We start from the raw sequence: 22,471 nt of genomic DNA, 5'->3' as shown, positions 1-22,471 counted from the left end.
GAAATGCTCATTGGAAAATTTTGGATTTCAGATTTTCAGATTTGGGATGCTCTATCTGCTAAGTATCCTGCAAATATTCCAAAGTCTGAAAAAGTTCAAAATCTGAAATACTTCTGGTCTCAAGCATTTTGGATAAGGGATACTCAACCTGTTTAACCTGACCAAAGCACAGTATCAAAATCAGGAATTTTGACATTGGTACAATGTGTATGTATAGTTTTCTTTCATTTTATCACGTGTAGATTCATACCACCACTGCCGTCAAGATACAGAACTACTCTGTTACCACAGAGATCTTCCTCATGCTGCCCCTTTTGTAGTCATGCTATTTACTTCTCTTCACTATGCCTGACCTCTGGCAACCATTAATCTGTTCTCCATCTTTATACTTTGGTGATTTCAAAATGTTATGTAAATGTCATCATGAAATGTGTGACTTTTTTTTTCTTTTTTCATTGTTTTTGAGACGGAGTCTCGCTCTGTTGCCCAGGTTGGAGTTCACTGGCGCAATCTCGGCTCACTGCCACCTCCGCCTCCCAGGTTCAAGCGATTCTCCTGCCTCGGCCTTCCGGGTAGCTGGGACTACAGGCACATGTTACCATGTCCCGCTTATTTTTGTATTTTTAGTAGAAACTGGCTGGTCTCGAACTCCTGACCTCCTGTGATCTGCCCACCCCAGCCTCCCAAAGTGCTAGGATTACAGGCGTGAGCCACCGCGGCCAGCCAAGCATGTGACCTTTTGAGGTTGGCTTGTTCAGTCAGCATAATACCATTTGTGATCCATATTAAGTTTTGTATATCCATAGTTGGTTCCTTTACTTCTGAGTAGTATTTCATGGTCCACAATTTAACCATTCACTTTTTTTTTTTTTTTTTTTTTTTTTTTTGAGACAGAGTCTTGCTCTGTTGCCCATGCTGGAGTGCAGTGGTGCTACCTCGGCTCACTGCAACTTCTGCCTCCCAGGTTCTCAGGTGATCCACCCACTTTGGCCTCCCAAAGTGCTGGGATTACAGGTGTGAGCCACTGTGCCCAGCCTTAACCATTCACTTTTGAGGGGCATTTTGGTTATTTCTAGGTTTTGGCTATTGTTCAACTGCTATGAACAATCATGTACAGATTTTTGAAGCTGAAAAAGCATTGAAGATGCTTCCAAAGATAAATATTACTGATAAGTTTTTCTCCCCAGTAATAAGCAGCTGGATTTTAAATGTTAGTCTAAAGCGTGAGGTCTAATTGTGCAGATTTCTTTACTCTCTTAGGTGTTATGCCTCAAACATAACTCCCATATTGGGCGTGGCAATCCAGTTAATCTGGTGTCAGTAGTGTTAAAGAACATATGTAATGGCAGGAGATTCTTTTCTTGCAGTGTAACAAGTTAGATACTTTGAAGCACTCTTTAAAGATTTTCTTTAATAACTTGAAGGCACTGTTACACCTTTCCTGTATCAGATTTTTTTTTTTTGGAATTGAAATCCATGAGATTTATAACTGTCATGCAAAGTAATTCCATTTCTCCTAAAATTTAAGGCTTGCTAAGGTAAACAGTTTCTGACATTTGTTTAATGAATGAGAGTATTACTGTTGAGAAGGCTTTTTCTCTCAAGTATGAGATAGAACTTTTTAAAAGCACTCATAGTGGTTTTTAAAAAAATGTTTAACATAGAGTCAAAGACTAGGGCTTTTGCAATAGGGAGAGGCCAGGGTTTCATCCATCTCATCCAGAAGAGGAGAAATTGATAAAGGAGAGAGGGGAATGAAATACAGAGTACTAATGGGCGGCTTGGTCTTGAGAGTTGGGGAAAGACGAGTTTAAGTAGGTAAGGTAAAATGGAATTTATATGTGATAGCATCAGGTTTCTCAGTGAAGGATGAATCTAGGTTATAAGTTGAAAGTGAGGGTCAAAGGAAGGTATGGGGAAGTTGAGGAAATAGGAGGAGGTGTGAAGTGTCAGGGAGTGGAGAAAGTGAGTCTGTTAGTACTAAAATGGTATTTTGTTTTAGGCAGCACCAGTTTGATGGTTGAGATAATGCAAATGAAATCAGTTAGCTTGGGGTTATGATTTCCCAAATCTAAGCACACAGAAACCAGTTGGGAGGGTTCTTCTGAGGAAAAGAGGGAATTAGTTGAAGGGATCTGTAAGCAAACAGTAATTATGGATATAAGGGATTATAGCATTTTTTGCCTGACAGAAGAAAGTGTGTGTATTTATATGTGTTTACAGGTGTTTAAAACTTGATGATGTTATTGTCTTGAAGGGAACTTGTCATATGGTGGAGAAGTATATTTCTGAAAGTAAGGGTATGTAGGCCCTCAGTGAGGTGGAAGAATAAGAAGGGTGGTATGGTGGTTTCGGTGGTATGACCAAAATGCAGATTTTGAAGACCTGTGTCAGTGGCAAGTGGATGGTTGAGGTTGGAGTAGAGGATAACATCACTGGAGATGAGGTGATTAAGGAACTGAGTAGTCAGCCTGGGCAACACGGCAAGACCCCATCTCTACAGAACGTTAAAAAAAAATTAGCCGGGCATGGTGGTGCATGCCTATGGTCCTAGCTTCTTGAGAGGCTGATGGAAGAGCATCGCAAATGAGAAGCGAGTGGCCACAAACCCTACTTCCTCTCCTCGTATGTAAGTTCAGAGAGAAAAAGCCATCATGGTAGTGGGGGTTATCCTGAGATGATACTGTCTTCATTTAAGGTCAGGAGGTGATGACAGTGCTTTGAGATGATGATAAAGGTAACAGAACAGTGGGAGGAGAGGGGATGCAGGATTGAATCAGATTTAAGGAGATACAGAGCAGTTTGAACATAAGGACCTTGTTGCTGAGGATTGACTGGGGAGGTCTAGGCTTCTGGTGGTGACTCAGATGGACAGGAATGTGTGGCATTAGTCCTGGTAGTCTCTGAAGAGAGTATGAGCTACTGCAGTAATCACAGATGCTTTTCTTCACATACAGTTCTTGAGGCTTAGTTTCTGGGTTGTAAGCAACTCTCAGAAGGGACGAATAAGGTATTTAGGATGGTGTTTTTGGTGGCATCATCATAAAACTAGACATAGTGGAATGGTGCTTTTTGGGAGCATGACTTGTTTAAAGTTGCACAAGTGTTACTCTAATAATTTTTCTTTTTCCTCTCTAAATAGGAACAGCTTCTAGATTGTGAAGGTGAAGATGGATGGAATAAACTTTTTGACTTGATTCAGTCAGAACTTTATGTAAGACCTGATGACGTCCATGTGAACATCCGGCTAGTGGAGTTGTATCGCTCAACTAAAAGATTGAAGGATGCTGTGGCCCACTGCCATGAGGCAGAGAGGAACATAGCTTTGCGTTCAAGTTTAGAGTGGAATTCGTGTGTTGTACAGACCCTTAAGGTAGATAAAAGCTATTGAGTCTTTACATTTCTATGTAGGCAATTAGCATACATCTTTTTGTACTAAAGCAGCAGTGCCCCGCAGGACTTAAATTTCTTTTATTTATGTAGAACAGTTATAAAATGAAATTTTTACCAGGATCAGTTAAATTTATAATGGGAAGATTGGGGAGATAACTATGATAAATGTATATATTTTTGGTGTTTTCATTTATAAGGTTGATGTAAAAATCAATGTAGTTTCACAAATGTGGTTGGAGTGAGAAAAGGAATTTGTAGGCATAAAATGGTTAATTACTTAACACTTGATTAAGTTTTGTAACTTACTATTCATTCCACAAAATAGGAATATCTGGAGTCTTTACAGTGTTTGGAGTCTGATAAAAGTGACTGGCGAGCAACCAATACAGACTTACTGCTGGCCTATGCTAATCTTATGCTTCTTACGCTTTCCACTAGAGATGTGCAGGAAAATAGAGAATTACTGGAAAGGTGCGTAGACTTTGAGGAGAATGCTTTAGTATAAATTGCAGTTTTTCTTTTTGCAGTAAGTTCATTGCTCTAAACTTCTTCACTGAATCATTATTTCTATAATGTACCTAGGAGTTATAGTTAATACAGTGAACCGCTAGGAGGCAATCTTATTTTTCTTCTTTTACAGGGAAGTTCTAATTGGTTTTATATGACTTTCCTTTTTAGAGAACTCTTATAGTTCAAGCTTGATTAAAATTAGCCTTATGGTTACTCAGTTTTGTCATAGTCAAGCTTAAAATGAATGTTCTAACTGCTATTTCATATTTTATTTTTTTATAATAGTATAATCTTTAGTGAAAATTAAAGTTCATCTGTCATCAGATGGCTAGGTTCACATGTACTAGTATAAGCACTTAGCATCACTGGTATTTCAGAAAATACTGTTTTAGCTAAGAAACAAAATAACTCAACTATGTGATTTACCTTTTTTCCTAAATTTTGATTTTGAAAACCAGTGTCTCCATTTTGAAAATAAATTCCATTGAACAAAAACATCACTTGGATTTGTATAAAGATGTTAGTTTAGAGCAGGGGTTGATTAGAACTTGTGGGCCAAATATGGCCCCTGCCTAATTTTGTTAATATTTATTGGAATGCAGCTTGCCTCTGTTTATGTATTGTCTGTGGCTGCTTACATACTACAGGGTTGGAGTTGAGTGGTTTCAGCAGAGATTGTATGCCTGTAAAGCCAGATTAGTAATCTCCTCCTTTTGTAGAAAAAGTTTACTGATTGCTAATTTAGGCTGTCCATTTGTTTGGAAGTTAATTTATTTCCCCATCTGGTATAAGGAAAGAAGTTCATTTCACTGAGTGCAGGGAGTAGGTAATTTTCTTGAAAAAGTACATAGTGTCCTAAATTGGTAGGGTAAGAGCAGTATCTAAAAGAACTAACATAACTTTAAGATTATTTTAGAAAACATGTAGGATGTTTTATTTTGTGTTCTTTGTATACTCAAATTTTTTGGTCACAAGTTCCTTTTACATTTTTCTTAAGGACATCAAAGATCTTTGTATGTGGGTTCCTTTTTTTCTTTCTTTCTTTTTTTTTTTTTTTTTTTTTTTGAGATGGAGTCTTGCTCTGTCACCAGGCTGGAGTGCAGTGGCACGACCTTGGCTCACTGTAACCTCCGCCTCCCGGGTTCAGGCGATTCTCCTGCCTCAGCCTCCCAAGTAGCTGGGACCACAGGCACACACCACTACGCCCAGCTAATTTTTGTATTTTTAGTAGAGACGGGGTTCAGGATGGTCTCAATCTCTCTTTTTTTTTTTTTGAGACTGAGTCTTGCTCTCGCCAGGTTGGCATGCAGTGGTGCAGTCTCGGCTCACTGCAACCTCTGCCTCCTGGGTTCAAGTGATTCTCTTGTCTCTGCCTCCTGAATAGGTGGGACTACATGTGCCCGACACCACACCTGGCTAATTTTTTTTTTTTTTTTTTTTTGAGACAGAGTCTCGCTCTGTCACCCAGCCTGGAGTACAGTGGCACAATCTCGGCTCACTGCAAGCTTCACAATTTCCTCTCAATGCTCTGAATAAGAGCTTATCCTCCTGCCTCAGGTTGTTCCCCACCAGGAAGCCCCAGGAGGGCCCTGAGGACAGCCCTTGGCCCTCAGAGGGGGAGGCTCAGGAGGGGAAATGACCATGGGGATGGAGTCACTCAGGGGAGAATCTGGACCATGATGGGGTGACTTGGGGGCCTGAGGGGAGGACCCTGAGGAAGATAAAAAGCTGGTGCCACCCTAGGCAGTTTCACAGTGTGGCTTAGGGCTGTGGGTGACAGATGGTTTGTCAGATCAGTTAATCAGGCCTCATGGGCCCTTTGTTACCCGCCTTGTGAACCTCCCAGGTTCATGCCATTCTTCTGCCTCAGCCTCCTGAGTAGCTGGGACTACAGGCGCCCACCACCACGCTCGGCTAATTTTTTTTGTATTTTTAGTAGAGACGGAGTGTCACCGTGTTAGCCAGGATGGTCTCGATCTCCTGACCTCGTGATCTGCCCTCCTCGGCCTCCCGAAGTGTTGGGATTACAGGGGTGAGCCACCGCGCCCAGCCCACACCTGGCTAGTTTTTGTATTTTTAGTAGAAACAGGGTTTCATCATGTTGGCCAGGATGGTCTCGATCTTTTTTTTTTTTGAGATGGAGTCTCGCTCTGTTGCCCAGGCTGGAGTGCAGTGGCGCCATCTCGGCTCACTGCAAGCTCTGTCTCCAGGGTTCATGCCATTCTCCTGCCTCAGCCTCCCGAGTAGCTGGGCCTACAGGTGCCCGCCACCACACCCAGCTAATTTTTTGTATTTTTAGTAGAGATGGGGTTTCACCGTGTTAGCCAGGATGGTCTTGATATCCTGACCTTGTGATCCGCCTGCCTCAGCCTCCCAAAGTGCTGGGATTACAGGCATGAGCCACCACGCCCGGCTGGTCTCGGTCTCTTGACCTCTTGATCCGTCTACCTTGGCCTCCCAAAGTACTGGAAGGTCTCAATCTCTTGACCTCGTGATCCGCCTGCCTTGGCCTTCCAAAGTGCTGGGATTGCAGGTCTGAGCCACTGCATCCGGCCGTATGTGGGTTATTTCTGTCAGTGTTTATTACATTAGAAATTAAAACAAAAAATGTAATCCATTAAAAATGTAATAAGCCCTATTGTGTGTTAATAATAATAGCTTTTTTTTTTTTTTTTTGAGACGGAGTTTTGCTCTTGTTGCCCAGGCTAGAGTGCAACAGTGTGATCTCGGATCACTGCAACCTCTGCTTCCCAGGTTCAAGCGATTCTCCTGCCTCAGCCTCCCAAGTAGCTGGAATTACAGGTGCCCACCACCACGCCTGGCTAATTTTTTGTATTTTTAGTAGAGATGGGGTTTCACCATGTTGGCTAGGCTGGTCTTGAACTCCTGACCTCAGGTGATCCACCCGCCTCGGCCTCCCAAAGTGCTGGAATTACATGTGTGAGCCACTGCGCAGGGCCAATAATAGCATTTTTTATGAAAAATAACTATTTCCCAACAGCAAAAAAGTAGTCAGAAAAGTGTCATTGTTTTTGCATTGTTGTAAATCTTTTTAATGTCTCGCTTAATAGAACATAGCTAGATTCTCATTTACTTCCTCTTTCAGTCTGTAAAACTATTACATGTCATGAAGCCTCTAGAAAACTCAGCTCAGCGGGGCGCGGTGGCTCAGGCCTGTAATCCCAGCACTTTGGGAGGCCGAGGCGGGTGGATCACGAAGTCAGGAGATCGAGACCATCCCAGCTAACAATGGTGAAACCTTGTCTCTACTAAAAATACAAAAAATTAGCCGGGCATGTTGGTACACGCCTATAGTCCCAGCTGCTCGGGAGGCTGAGGCAGAAGAATCGCTTGAACCTGGGAGTCAGAGGTTGCAGTAAGCCAAGATTGTGCCACTGCACTCCAGCCTTGTGACAGAGTGAGATTCTGTCTCCAAAAACAAAAACAAAAAAAGTCAGCTCTACATACATGAGAAAATGAGTATGTAATATATAAATTTTTTTTGGTATTGTAAAAGTAATTTTAACTTCATGGATCCCCTGAAGGGGTTTTTGAGCACCCTCAGAGATCTTTAGACCTCACTTGCTCTGGTTGCTTTATTGTAAGCCACTTTAAAATCATGCTTCACGTTTAAGTGTTTGCTTTTTGCTTTTACTTTTCTTCCAAAGTGAGGATTTGGAGAAACATTAGGATTTAGAAGAACTAATTTAGAATATAGATTACAAATAGTAGGCCAGACATAGTGGCTCATGCCTGTAATCCCAGCACATTGGTAAACTGAGGCGGGCGGATCGTGAGGTCAGGAGTTCGAGACCAGCCTGGCCAACATAGTGAAACCCTGTCTCTACTAAAAATATAAAAAAAGTTTAGCGGGGCATGGTGGCAGGTGCCTGTAATCCCAGCTACTCAGGAGGCTGAGTCGGGAGAATCACTTGAACCTGGGAGGTGGAGGTTGCAGTGAGCTTAGATCGTGCCATTGCACTCCAGCCCAGGCGGTAGTGAGAGACTCCGTCTCAAAAAAAAAAAAAAAAAGACAATTTATTTAACGCTGTAATGATCTATATAGTAAAAAGAGCAATTGCTGTATTGATACTCAAATACCTGTCAGTTATTTACTTATAATTTGGAAATGGTATGTCTAATTTGAGAAATTACAACTGTTAATTAAATAATGAAATTATATGATCAGGAAGAAACTACAAAATAGTCTCCCAACTTTATCCTGGTTTATTTTGAAATGTGCACCTATAATCACTAATCTTATATTTATCCTGTGATTGGAGGGCTGGAAATAACTGGGAATAAGACATCATTTGAGAGGTTAAGCATGAAGTATAGGAAGTATGCAGGATAAAAATAAGCATTAGATGATTCATAATTTATAACATGGGGAATAAGAATTATTAGAAGTTGAATGTGGAAGATGAAGCTTGAAATAAAATTTTTATTTTGTTTTGAATTAAATCAACCATGATTATTCACAGTGCAGTAAGTGTGTATCATCTGTTTGATATTTTCATATTACAGTTTTGATAGTGCTCTTCAGTCTGCGAAATCTTCTTTGGGTGGAAATGATGAACTGTCAGCTACTTTCTTAGAAATGAAAGGACATTTCTATATGTATGCTGGTTCTCTGCTCTTGAAGATGGGTCAGCATGGTAATAATGTTCAATGGCGAGCTCTTTCTGAGCTGGCTGCATTGTGCTATCTCATAGCATTTCAGGTAAGTCTTCCACTTGTAGGAGCAATTGACATTTCACGGAGTCTTGATGTGTTTTAAATGAAGGTGTGCTCTGGTATGTAATGACAATATGTGAACAAACCTGTGGAATTAAAGTTAAAATGAAATAGTCAATTTGATACAGTGGAAAATAACTAAGCATACACAATACTGGTGAGGCTGGTGAAACAGGGATGTTGAATGCACTCTTGTCGAAAGCCTGCATTGCCATGATTTGTTTGTAGACAAATTTGAAGAGTTTGATCTTTTTACTCTGCCATTTTTGGGAACATGATAAAGATGTAATCTCGTATTATGGGTAAAGCTTGATTCAAAAAGATGTGTTACTTGGACAAAATCCTAATAAGTAGACGTAGGGCAATGGCTTTATAGCCTATGATAGAAGAATATGATTGCAATTTAACATGTTAATTGAAACACATGTATATAACATTTATGACTGTATTGTGTATATGTAACAGTATATCTATTAATCTTTGAAAACATAAAACCTTTTCTTATTTTTTATTTTTTTATTTTTTTTGAGACCAAGTCTCTCTCTGTCGCCAGGCTGGAGTGCAGTGGCGTGATCTCGGCTCACTGCAGCCTCCACCTCCTGGGTTCGAGTGATTCTCCTGCCTCAGCCTCCCGAGTAGCTGGGACTACAGGCCCATGCTACCAAGCCCAGCTAATTTTTTGTATTTTTAATAGAGATGGGGTTTCACCATGTTGGCCAGGATGGTCGCAATCTCTTGACCTCTTGATCTACCTGCCTTGGTCTCCCAAAGTGCTGGGATTACAGGCGCGAGGCACTGCGCCTGGCGCGCCTGGCTTTTTTTTTTTTTTTTTTTTTTTTTTTTTTTGAGACGCAGTCTCGCTCTGTCGCCCAGGCTGGAGTGCAGTGGCATGATCTCGGCTCACTGCAAGCTCCACCTCCCGAGTTCACGCCATTTTCCTGCCTCAGCCTCCTGAGTAGCTGGGACTACAGGCACCCGCCACCATGCCTGGCTAATTTTTTTTTGTACTTTTAGTAGAGACGGGGTTTCACCGTGGTAGCCAGGATGGTCTCAATCTCCTGACCTAGTCATCCACCTGCCTCGGCCTCCCAAAGTGCTGGGATTTACAGACATGAGCCACCATGCCTGGCCTTTTTTTTTTTTTTTTTTTTTTAATGAGCTTGCATAACTTTCGAAAGGAAAAGAAATAAGCAGTCTTCCAAAAAAACATTAAACCAGGCTTAGAAAGATGATTAATTTTAGAGAAGGATTTTTTGCTTGGGGAGGGAAAAAAAAGGATTCATTACTTTTAGAGAAGGCCCCTCCTTCTAATATAAATCTTTTTTTCTTTTTGAGACGGAGTTTTGCTCTTGTTGCCCAGGCTGGAGTGCAATGGCGCCATCTGGCTCACTGCAACCTCTGCCTCCCGGGTTCAAGCGATTGTCCTGCTTCAGCCTCCCGAGTAGCTGGGATTACAGGCACACGCCACCACGCCCATCTAATTTTGTGTTTTTAGTAGAGACGAGGTTTCTCCATGTTGGTCAGGCTGGTCTTGAGCTCCTGAACTCAGGTGATCTGCGCGTCTCGGCCTCTCAAAGTGCTGGGATTACAGGCAGTGAGCCAGCATGCCCTGCCTAATATAAATCTTTTTATTTTTATTTGAGACGGAGTCTCGCTCTGTCACAAGGCTGGAGTGCAGTGGTGCAATCTCAGCTCACTGCAACCTGTGTCTCCTGGGTTCAAGTGATTCTCCTGCTTCAGCCTGTCACGTATCTGGGATTACAGGCACACACCACCATGCCTGGCTAATTTTTTGTATTTTTTAATAGAGATGGGATTTCACCATGTTAGCCAGGATGGTCTCGATCTTCTGACCTCGTGATCCACCCAACTCGGCCTCTCAAAGTGCTGGGATTACAGGCATGAGCCATTGAGCCCGGCCTGTAAATCTTTTAAAAACACCGTTGATAGACAGTTCACATGTTAAGTGCTAATATTTGCTCAGTAGAAACTTCTGTGTTCATAAGGAATGGATTAGTGAAAATTAATGGATTTAGTGAGGTTCACTAGGTAATACAAACATTAAAAGGTTCTTATAGAAATTCTCAAGTAACTGATAGTTCTTATTTTTATTTATTTTATTTTTTTTTGAGATGGAGTCTCACTCTGTCACCCAGGCTGGAGCACAGTGGCACGACCTCGGCTCACTGCAAGCTCCGCCTCCTGGGTTCACGCCATTCTCCTGCCTCAGCCTCCCGAGTAGCTGGGACTACAGGCACCCACCACCACGCCTGGCTAATTTTTTTGTATTTTCAGTAGAGATGGGGTTTCACCGTGTTAGCCAGGATGGTCTCGATCTCCTGACCTCATGATCCGCCCACCTTGGCCTCCCAAAGTGCTGGCATTACAGGTGTGAGCCACCGCACCCTGCCAATAGTTCTTATTTTTAATGGAAACTTTAAAATTTATCTGTCTGTGTGTCTATTAGAGTCTTGCTGTGTCACCCAGGCTGGAGTGCAGTTGCGTAATCGTAGCTCACCATAACATTGAACTGGGCTCGAGCTTCCCAGAGTGCTGGGATTATAGGTGTGAGCTGCTGCGCACAGCCTAAAATTTTTTGATATGTAGTTTTGGGAGGCAGAGTCTCACTCTTGCTCTGGCTGGAGTGCAGTGGCATGATCATAACTCACTGCATCCTCGAACTCCTGGGCTCAAGTGATCCTCTCCTGCTTCAGCCTCAGCTCAGTAGCTGGGACTACAGGTGCCTGCCACCATGCCTGGCTACATTGTTAAATTTTTTGTAAAGACAAGGTCTTGCTATGTTTCCCAGGCTGGTTGGTCTTGAACTCCTGGCTTCAAGTGATCTTTCTGCCTTGCCCTCCCAAAGTGCTGAGATTACAGGTATGAGCCACCACACCTGACTGTGAACTTTTAATCATAATAAGTTAGTTTCCCTCTTAATCCATTCACTCAGGTCTCCTTTCCTAGATGACAGCTACTGTTAGGAGTTTCTTGGGTGTTCAGAAATATTTTTTGCATATGCAAATGTGCAATACATTCTTTCTCTGCTTTTAAAAAATATTGTGCCTCAGTGTGGGTGTGCTTTACCTATTGCCAGATGCCTTGCTTTTCTAAATGTTTCTTCATTGTTCCACTTCAGCACAGAGATACCTACCTCAGTCTTTATTAACTACCACATATTTCTGTAGAATGAATATATAATAGAAACATCTTAGATGCTTGTATTTTATTTGATCAGTTTATTTTAAAGCTTAATGAACAAATGATTATAAGCATAAAATGTAGGTTATGTGCTGGCATTTGGGTATTTAAGAATTGGCTAACTTTTATGGCAAGATTTTCAGACTCTTAATCAGAGGAATACTGTGGTTCTAGTAAGTGCATCTGCATTGCAGCTAGGTAGTTAACAAAGTATCTTGAAACCTTTTAGTTAAGATGAGGAAATAGCCAGGCGTGGTGGCTCACACCTATAATCTTAGCACTTTGGGAGGCTGAGGCGGGCGGATCGCTTAAGGTCAGGAGTTTGAGACCATCCTGACCAACATGGTCAAACCCCATCTCTACTAAAAATACAAAAATTAGCCACGCATGGTGGCGGGTGCCTGTAGTCCCAGCTACTTGAGAGGCCGAGACAGGAGAATTGCTTGAAACCAGGAGGCGGAGGTTGCAGTGAGCCGAGATCGTGCCACTGCAGCACTCCAGCCTGGCGACAGAGCGAGACTCCATCTCAAAAAAAAAAAAAAGGAAATAGTGAATTGAGATGATTTGATTGAGTGGATTCACAACTAATTAACTGGTCACAGATTCAACTGTTGAATAATTTTGTAAAAGAGGCCGGGTTTATGAATTGAGGTCAGTTTGAAAACAAAAAGAATGATGTCAACATTTTGTTTCTTACTTTGTGTGCTCTTTTCAACATATAGATGACAAACTTTGACATGATGTTTAGAAAACTTGTGAGTAAAAGGATAGGCGATACGAATATTTCTAAAATTCAAAATCAGAAGCTTTTAGGTTCATAAATCATATATTTTGAAAAATGAGCATGTTTGGAAAGAATTATATATACATGGTTTAAAATTCTGGCGGCTCTTAAGAATATGCTATGAAGACTCCTTTCTGTTCCCTAGTTATTTACTTTCTCCACCCCCAAAGAAACTAATGTTATTGCTTTCTTGTGTGTTCTTCAGGAAATGTTTTATGCATCTCCAAGTAAACACACATATATCCCCTGTCTTTAAAAGAAGGAGGAAAACATTTGAACATTGCATTTACTTTATTTCCATTAACTGTATCTTGGAGATGTTTCCATGTCAGTATATATAAAGGGCATTCTCATTAGTTTGGATGCTTGCATATTATTCCATTGTATGGATGTACTGTAGTTTTGGAGTTTTTAAAACCAGGGTCCTAAAACCAGGACATTAGCTTGCTTTTACTTTTGTTTTAAATGCTACTTCAAGTAATTTAGCAATGATTAACTTGTGCCATGAATTCCTGAAAGAATTGCAGTATCAAAGTATATCTGTGCATTTATAATTTTTAGAGCTGTTGCCAAATATCTAACCCTAAAGAGGTTGTATCAAATTACATTTCCACCACCAATTAAGAAAGTGGTGATAGAATTAAAAGCCGATGCTCTAGTCACCCATATAGTTACTTTTGGCATGTTTCTAGTAAGCGGGCATTGCCTATGACTGGACGTTTTCAGTGATGGACATTCATTACTTTTCAAGATAGCCCAGTGCATCTTTAGGTGGTTTGGCTCTTGGTACTTCCTTATATAGAATAAAAATATTCTTCAAGCCTTCTACCTGTTGGTCTTGTTTCTTCTTTTGATGATTTCTTTTATAAAATAATTTTAATATTTGAAGGCAGCTGTCACGTCTTCCCTTCGCCATTCTATTCATCATGCTTTTTTTTTCTTCCATAGGTTATTGCATGAGGATCTCTTTAATTTCCTGGTTGTCCCATTTATTCTAGTGCTATCCCCTATTATCCATACTCTGAAAATGTGTTATCTACAATGTGGCATTTCCAAGTGTCATTTCACCTGTGCTTTTTAAAGTAGGGTGTCATATCTACTCAAATAGGACAACATCTGCTGTTGTCCTATTTATGCAGGGTAGAAAAGTAATGTAATTAAATTTTCCATTTCTCTGAATGTAACATGAATGTGCTTTTAGTAGAAACTAATTTCTCAGAGCTGCTCTGTGTATGCTTTTTTTTTTTTTTTCTTTTTTTGGAGATAGGGTCTCACACTGTCGCCCAAGCTGGAGCACAGTGGCATGATCATGGCTCACTGCAGCCTTGACCTCCTGGATTTAAGTGATCCTCCTGCCTCAGCCTCCTGAGTAGCTGGGACCACAGGTGTGTGCCACCACGCCTGGCTAATTAAAAAAAAACTTTTTTTAGAGATAGGGTCTCACCGTGTTGTTCAGGCTGGTCTTGAACTCTGGGCTCAAGTGATCCCCCCACCTCGGCCTCCCAAAGTGCTGGGATTACAGGTGTGAACCAACATGTCTGGCCCCTCTTTTTTTTTTTTTTTTTTGCGATGGAGTCTCGCTCTTTCACCCAGGCTGGAGTGCAATGGCGCAGTCTCGGCGCACTACAACCTCTGCCTCCCAGGTTCAAGCTATCCTTGTGCCTCAGCCTCCCGTGTAGCTGGAATTAATAGGTGTGTGCCACCACGCCTGGCTCTTTGTTTTTTTTTTTATTATTTTTAGTAGAGACTGGGTTTCACCATGTTGGCCAGGCTGGTCTCGAACTCCTGACCTCAAGTGATCAGCCCACCTTGGCCTCCCAGAGTGTTGGGATTACAGGTGTGAGCCACCACGCCTGTACCTGGCCTATCTTTCATAGGTTATATAAATTCCTTGGTTCCCAGTTTTTGCAGTCTTTTCCAATTCAGTTTAATTAATGGTTAACTGTTTATTCATTATCAAAAAAAGTACAGTGTAATAGATAAGACCATGTTACTATTAGAAGTATGGGTATCATCAAATTAAGATTTTTGATTCTAAAATTATTAGGTTCCAAGACCAAAGATTAAATTAAGAGAAGGTAAAGCTGGACAAAATCTGCTGGAAATGATGGCCTGTGACCGACTGAGCCAATCAGGTAATAGTAATATTAAACTAATTTAATTTAAAAAGAAAAAGGAATTTCTGTTAAGGCATATCTTATGATAAAATCTTCATCTGTCCAGGAGATAATTTGTCAAAATTATTTCTTTTTGCCGTATCAGTTAAGAGCAATAGGTATGGAAGAGATGCGAAGAAATAGCACATTCTTTTAAAAAAATGAATATTTGATATTGTTTGTTCCTATGTGGAGAGGATTTCTTAACTCTTTCTTCATCTGGCTGCTAGAGCCTCTATCCTGAATATTTAGTCACTTCCTGAACTAAGTATAATTATTGATTTGCCAACCATTTAACACCAGCTGATTCTAAAAACACTGCTGTGGGGATATAAAGATGAAGAAGATACGGATCTGTCTTAAAGAGCTGAGAGCATAGTGAGGAAGATAGAAGATATATACTTACCTTATATTAGGCTCTTGGAATTTGTGGATTTTTTCCCCCATTTTTGGCTTGGGATGAATCCTAAAGGTCTGTTGCATATTACCTGTGATTTTGCTAAGATACAAACTTTAAGGTAGTTAGATGGCCATTGAATCAAGCAGTGAACTGAAGAAACATAATGCTTTCTATAAGGAGCAGTTTTGATATAAAATTGGATGAATTTTGTAAAGAGCAAGATGTAATATTAAATCAAAGTTATTATAAGCTTTGGTGTATAGTTAGGCTGTTGGCCAGAGCTCACATTGCTCTTTTATTCCATAGCCCACTTTTTTTGTGGGAGTTAGGCTTTCAGTCCTTAAAGTGACTTTCTACTTTTTCCCTTTTCTCTTTTCCTTCTACCCTTGCAGGGCTCTCATAAGTGCCTTTGCATGGTGTCACAGTTAGATAAAAATTGCCTGTATCTTTTTTTTATGTCTTTGATCTGGGCATTCCGAGGGTGCCTCTGTAAGTGTGCTGAGACACAACTGTGTAGTGGTAACCAAACCTAATTGCCCAGCAGAATTAACTCGAAGGAGGGTTTTTAAAAAAAGTTCAATTGAAATATAATTCGTATACCATACGCTTCACCCATTTAAAGTGTACAGTTCAGTGGCTTTTACTATGTTCATAGAGTATTACCACTGTCACCACAGTCAGTTTTAGAAGATTTTCATCACTCCGTGAGGAATTCCTTACCTATTAGCAGTTACTCCCCATTTTACCCAAACCTCTCAGCCTTGGCAACCGCTAATCTGTCTCTGTAGGTTTGCCTCTTCTGAACATTTCACATAAATGGAATCATAGTATGTGGTCTTTTGTGACTGGCTTCTTTGATTTAGCAAGGTTTTCAAGGTTCATCTGTGTTATAGCATGTATCAGTACTTTATCCGAGGACTATGATTTTTTGATTGCTTACTGTAAACCTATGGCATAAAAATCTCTGGGAACAAGGCCTGGAAATAATTCTTTTTTTTTTTTTTTTTTCCTGAGACAGTCTTACTCTGTCGCCCAGGCTGGAGTGCAGTGGCGTGATCTCGGCTCACTGCAAGCTCCGCCTCCCGGGTTCACGCCATTCTCCTCCCTCAGCCTCCCCAGTAGCTGGGACTACAGGCACCCGCCACCAGGGCCGGCTAATTTTTTTTTTTTTTTTTGTATTTTTAGTAGAGATGGGGTTTCACTGTGTTAGCCAGGATGGTCTTGATCTCCTGACCTCATTATCCACCCAGCTTGGCCTCCCAAAGTGCTGGGATTACAGGCATGAGCCACCGTGCCCAGCTGGAAATAATTCTTAAAAGCTGTTTAAAGGAGGATTCTGATCAGCCAGGTTCAGAAATCAGTGTATCAGATCAGAGAATAAGAGCTTGTCCCTGTTCTCCTATGGCCACTTAAATCCAGACCTTTTCATCTAAAGTGCAAATATGTTTGGCATTTTTCATACACATTCCTGTCTTTTTTCCCCGTTCTGCTGTCTTATGTAGATACTGAGAATATTAAACCTGTACTCTTTTCATTTGCTACATAAGCACCCATTTTGTTGTCCAGCTGTATTTTTTGGGTTGGAGGGTTAGGTTTGCAATAATCATGTTATTTCCCCTTTGGGTATACAAATGAGACAACGTGAGCAAATACAATCTGTATTTTTAAAGTGATGGAAATAACTTAAATTTTTTTTTCAGGGCACATGTTGCTAAGCTTAAGTCGTGGCAAGCAAGATTTCTTAAAAGAGGTTGTTGAAACTTTTGCCAACAAAATTGGGCAGTCTGCGTTATATGATGCTCTGTTTTCTAGTCAGTCACCTAAGGATACATCTTTTCTTGGTAGCGATGATATTGGAAAAATTGATGTACAAGAACCAGAGCTTGAAGATTTGGCTAGATACGATGTTGGTAAGTTATATGTTTCAGAGGAAATGGTCTCCGTCTTAATTCTTATAAATTGCCCATAATGTTATTACCCAGAAATAACGACTTAATATTTTCCTGTATTCCTTTTGTGTGTGGGTTGGGCTGGGGGGAGTTTGAATGTGGTGCTGTGGGGGTGGCATGTATTTTTTGTTGTTGTTGTTGTTGTTTTTGAGACCAAGTTTTGCTCTTGGCGCCCATGCTGGAGTGCAGTGGTGCGATCTCGGCTCACTGTAACCTCTGCCTCCCTGGTTCAAGTGATTCTGCTGCCTCAGTCTCCCAAGTAGCGGGATTACAAATGCCCGCCACCACGCCCGGCTAATTTTTTGTATTTTTAGTAGAGACGGGGTTTCATCATGTTGGTCAGGCTGGTCTCAAACTCCTGACCTCAGGTGATCCACCTGCCTTGGCCTCCCAAAGTGCTGGGATTACAGGTGTGAGCCACTGCGACCAGCCTTGTTGTATTTTGAGACAGGGTCTCGCTGTGTCACCTGGGCTGCAGTGTAGTGGCATGATCGTAGGTCACTGGTGCCTTGAACTTCTGGGCTCAAGGGATTCTCTTGCCTCAGCCTCCTGAGTAGCTGGTACCATAGGCACATGCCACTCGGCCCAGATAATTTTTTTTTTAATTGGCAGAGACAGGGTCTCCCTTTGTTGCCCAGGCTAGTCTCCAACTCCTAGGCTCAAGTGATCCTCCTGCTTAAGCCCCCCAAAATGTTGGGATTAGGCCCGGCACAGTGGCTCATATCTGTAATCCCAGCACTTTGGGAGGCCGAGGCGGGCAGATCACCTGAGATCAGGAGTTCGAGACCATCCTGGCCAACATGGTGAAACCCCGTCTCTACTAAAAATACAAAAATTATCCGGGGGTGGTGGCATGTGCCTGTAGTCCCTACTCAGGAGGCTGAGGCAGGAGAGTCCTTCAACCCGGGAGGTGGAGGTTGCAGTGAGCCAAGATCACACTGCTGCACTACAGCCTGGGCGACAGAGCGAGACTTCGTCTCAAAAACAAAAAGTGTTGGAATTATAGGCATGAGCCACTGCATCTGGCCATATTTTTCATCTAAATGGTTGTTTATGTATGATTTATCTTGCTTCCTTCATGAATTCTCTCCCATAGTCTGTGTATTAAAACTATAAATATCACTTTTATTGGCAATATAATCTTTTTTATGAAGTAGTCATAATTTGCTTGCTACTTTCTGTTATTGGGCATCCAAGTTTTCTCAACTTTTCCACTGTTAATAATCATACTCTGATAAAAACTTCAACAAAAAGTGTCTTCATTGCAAGTTATTTCCATAGAGATACCTAAAAACAGAATTACTGAGACAAAGGACATGAACATCTTTAAGTCTTGCAAATTGCCAAAATGACAGAAAGATTATACCTCTTCATGCTTCCAGAAGCGCATAACCTTTTCTTTTCTTTTCTTTTCTTTTCTTTTCTTTTCTTGTTTTTGAGACAGAGTCTCGCTCTGTCACCCAGGCTGGAGCGCAGTGGCGCAATCTCGGCTGCCAGGTTCAAGCAATTGTCTTGCCTCGGCCTCCCAAGTAGCTGGGACTATAGGCATGTGACACCGTGCTCGGCTAATTTTTTGTATTTTTAGTAGAGACGGAGTTTCACCATGCTGGCCAGGCTGGTCTCGAACTCCTGACTGCGCATAACATTTTCAATATTGACTTTCTTGTAGAAAAACAGATTTCTTTACTGTACCGATGGATTAATATAGTGGTGTTCCATTGCTTTAATGACTTAAAGCAAAACCCATTGTTTTGGGGTTTCTTATTAGGTTAGGTGTTCTTTATTTGGCTTTTGTCAGTTGATTTTGGTTTATTGAGTTCTAGTCAGTGTCATTTTTTAAGATGGACTTAAACATTCTTCATCACTACTATTTTTATTAAAATTTCTAGAAATAATCAAGTGAGAATGCATTTAATAAGAACATGAGATTTTGCCTAACATAGAATTCCCTCCAGCTTTGATATAGAAAAGCAGTTATATAATTAAGATATATATAATGTGAATTGTTTATGTTGGCAAAACTAATGGCACAAAGAAAAATTTCAAACCCTTAAGCCAATTTTTAAATTTTATTTCAGGTGCTATTCGAGCACATAATGGTAGTCTTCAGCATCTTACTTGGCTTGGCTTACAGTGGAATTCATTGCCTGCTTTACCTGGAATCCGAAAATGGCTAAAACAGCTTTTCCATCGTTTGCCCCATGAAACCTCAAGGCTTGAAACAAATGCGCCTGAATCAATATGTATTTTAGATCTTGAAGTAAGCAAAGATTTTAACAAATTAAATATTCTGAATTTTGTTTAATTTTTTTTTCTAACTTAACTTTTCCTTAAATGAAACAGGTATTTCTCCTTGGAGTAGTATATACCAGCCACTTACAATTAAAGGAGAAATGTAATTCTCACCATAGCTCCTATCAGCCGTTATGCCTGCCCTTTCCTGTGTGTAAACAGCTTTGTACAGAAAGACAAAAATCTTGGTGGGATGCGGTTTGTACTCTGATTCACAGAAAAGCAGTGTAAGTAGTAAAACAAAAATATTGCTTTCACTTAGTGCGTAGGTTTTACCGGGGATTTAATCCTCGTGTGAAGATTTAATTTGTCATGTGACCCATTAACATATATGTATGTAAGCGCTGAACTGTGTATTTAGAAAGCAATTTTAGTAAATTGAACTATTTTTTAGACCTGGAAACTTGGCAAAATTGAGACTTCTAGTTCAGCATGAAATAAACACTCTAAGAGCCCAGGAAAAACATGGCCTTCAACCTGCTCTGCTTGTACATTGGGCAAAATACCTTCAGAAAACGGTGAGTTTTAAAGTATAAGCATTTTTAATGAACATTACCTTAATTTTTTAAAATCATGAACTTTTTATTGAAAGTTTTTTTGTTCTGAAAACAGCAGCTTGGTCATATTATGACAGATGTGTTTTTTATTGCTGCAAAATAGTTAATGTAGTTAAATATAAGCACTTAGAGGAGCAATGCCTGGCACACAGTGAATGTTACATATTAGCTGAGCTGTTACTGTTATTCCTTAATAATTAAGTTCTGATAATTATTCAGCCTGAAAATTAAAAAAAAAATTAGCACAAGGCTTTGTAGGTAAGACCATTATAGATCTTTCTAAATATTTAAGGTGTGTTTTGTGTCACCATTAGGTGTAGATGGTCAGCCTTTTGAACAAACTGACACTACAGAAGAGGCAGGTTTCAGCTATCTAAAAAGGACAACTGTTAAAAAGTAGTTTGGATTGCTACGTTAGAGTGGTATCATTAGAAGCATTTAAAAGTTGAGTGTAGAGGCCGGGTGCGGTGGCTCACACCTGTAATCCCAGCACGTTAGGAGGCCGAGGCGGGCAGATCACAAGGTCAGGAGGTCGAGATCATTCCTGGCTAACACGGTGAAACCCCGTCTCTGCTAAAAATACAAAAAAAAACTCTACTAAAACTACAAAATTAGCCAGACATGGTGGCAGGTGCCTGTAATCCCAGCTACTTGGGAAGCTGAGGCAGGAGAATTGCTTGAACCTGCACGGCAGAGGTTGCAGTGAGTTCACTGGTATTAAGGTGGTTTAGTTATTACAGTATTTGGAAGTTGAACAAATGACTATTGAGGTACCATTTGGTTTTGACTTGAAATTTTAGCCAGTTCTTACAACTTGTAAATGAACTTTAGATCTAATCATGCGTGTTCCTTAAAGTTGTGTGCTTTTAACTTTCTTTTTTAGGGCAGCGGTCTTAATTCTTTTTATGGTCAACTAGAATACATAGGGAGAAGTGTTCATTATTGGAAGAAAGTTTTGCCATTGTTGAAGATAATAAAGAAGAACAGTATTCCTGAACCTATTGATCCTCTGTTTAAACATTTTCATAGTGTAGACATTCAGGTAACAGAGTTCCTTTATGAATTTATTGGAGATGGGAATTTCCAGTTTATAAACAAAGACGTGGAGCTATAAACTGCTTAAATTAATTGCCTTGTTATTTAACGGTAATCTTGTTTTCTAAATTCACTAGCTCTCACAGATAAGATATGACAGAGAAGAGTAATGAGATGTTTGTCTCTTAAGATCATATAAAATCTTTGGAAAATCATTTGGGTTTTATATTCTGAGTATAAACAATTTGACTAAAAACTATTCTATGTGTTTAGGCATCAGAAATTGTTGAATATGAAGAAGACGCACACATAACTTTTGCTATATTGGATGCAGTAAATGGAAATATAGAAGATGCTGTGACTGCTTTTGAATCTATAAAAAGTGTTGTTTCTTATTGGAATCTTGCACTGGTAAGTAGATGCAGTACTTGAGCTAAAAGTTGTATTTATTTATTTATTATTTTTTTTAAAAGACGGGGTTTCTCTGTTGGCCAGGCTAGAGTGCAGTGGCACAATCTTGGCTCACTGCAACCTCTGCTTCCCAGGCTCAAGCGATTCTTGTGCCTCAGCTCCCGAGTTGCTGGGATTACAGGCATGAGCCACCATGCGTGGCCAAGCTGAAAGTTTTTTGTTTTAAAAAGCTAATGATTTCATGAAAGCACTATTTGTATAGATTTTTCACAGGAAGGCAGAAGACATTGAAAATGATGCCCTTTCTCCTGAAGAACAAGAAGAATGCAGAAATTATCTGACAAAGACCAGGGACTACCTAATAAAGATTATAGATGACGGTGATTCAAATCTTTCAGTGGTCAAGAAAGTAAGTAGCAGGTTGTTGTATGTACGTTCTTACTGATAACCCACTGGTCAGTGTTTTTGCGTTGGTCTTATATTTTGGTAATTTCAAAAATACTCAGTAATATGTTGTTATTAATGCACAGAAGGGATGCGTGTGTCTAAATGCTTAGATTTGCTTGCTTTGTCTTAGGTTTGGTGTGTCTTTTTAAACTTGGGAATCTAGGTATATGCTCTTAAAAAGTACTTCTTGGGGAATTAGAAAAGATTTCTAAGATAAGACATTGATTTTGTTATCTTAGCAGTGTAATCAAAACAAATATTATAACCTCAGGACTAATTCTTAATGAACTTTGCTGAAATTGAAAGTTGTTGCTGACAACTTAAGAGCATTTCTTCTCATCGTCATCAGCCATTATGAACGCCCTTGTTTTCTTGCTGTCAGCTGTTTGAGATTGTCATGATGATGTTAAATTATGTTCAGTCTTCTGAGTGTTTTGTTGATTAATTTGTGTTACTACTCTTTTATTAGGATTTATGTTGTCTGGTGTATTGTAGCATCTGTATTTCTGTCACCATTGAAAATCAGTTAGAAAACATCAGTAACTTATTTTGTTCACTTGGAAAAGCTTTCCAAGTTAACATTCCTCTACAATTATCAT

General features: G+C 40.3%; 1 protein-coding gene across 7 annotated transcripts in view; it reads left to right on the top strand.

Moving 5' to 3' along the window:
• RGPD8 (RANBP2 like and GRIP domain containing 8) overlaps positions 1-22,471 on the top strand; it is a 65,277-nt gene that overhangs the window by 12,589 nt on the left and 30,217 nt on the right. For 6 of the 7 annotated variants that reach the window (NM_001164463.1, XM_024453101.2, XM_005263747.6 and 3 more), the window contains exons 5-15: positions 3,143-3,373; positions 3,719-3,864; positions 8,431-8,626; positions 14,673-14,760; positions 16,882-17,091; positions 19,209-19,390; positions 19,474-19,649; positions 19,817-19,940; positions 20,863-21,021; positions 21,288-21,425; positions 21,688-21,834. In NM_001164463.1, coding sequence (NP_001157935.1) covers positions 3,143-3,373; positions 3,719-3,864; positions 8,431-8,626; positions 14,673-14,760; positions 16,882-17,091; positions 19,209-19,390; positions 19,474-19,649; positions 19,817-19,940; positions 20,863-21,021; positions 21,288-21,425; positions 21,688-21,834 — 1,797 coding nt within the window. Of the gene's footprint in view, positions 1-3,142; positions 3,374-3,718; positions 3,865-8,430; positions 8,627-14,672; positions 14,761-16,881; positions 17,092-19,208; positions 19,391-19,473; positions 19,650-19,816; positions 19,941-20,862; positions 21,022-21,287; positions 21,426-21,687; positions 21,835-22,471 lie in introns of those variants that run through there. The other variant, XM_047445676.1, reaches the window with a different exon arrangement.

The sequence above is a fragment of the Homo sapiens genome, chromosome 2 (genome assembly GCF_000001405.40).
Source record: "Homo sapiens chromosome 2, GRCh38.p14 Primary Assembly".
Lineage (NCBI taxonomy): Eukaryota > Metazoa > Chordata > Mammalia > Primates > Hominidae > Homo > Homo sapiens.
This window is presented reverse-complemented; position numbering and strand designations above follow the sequence as displayed.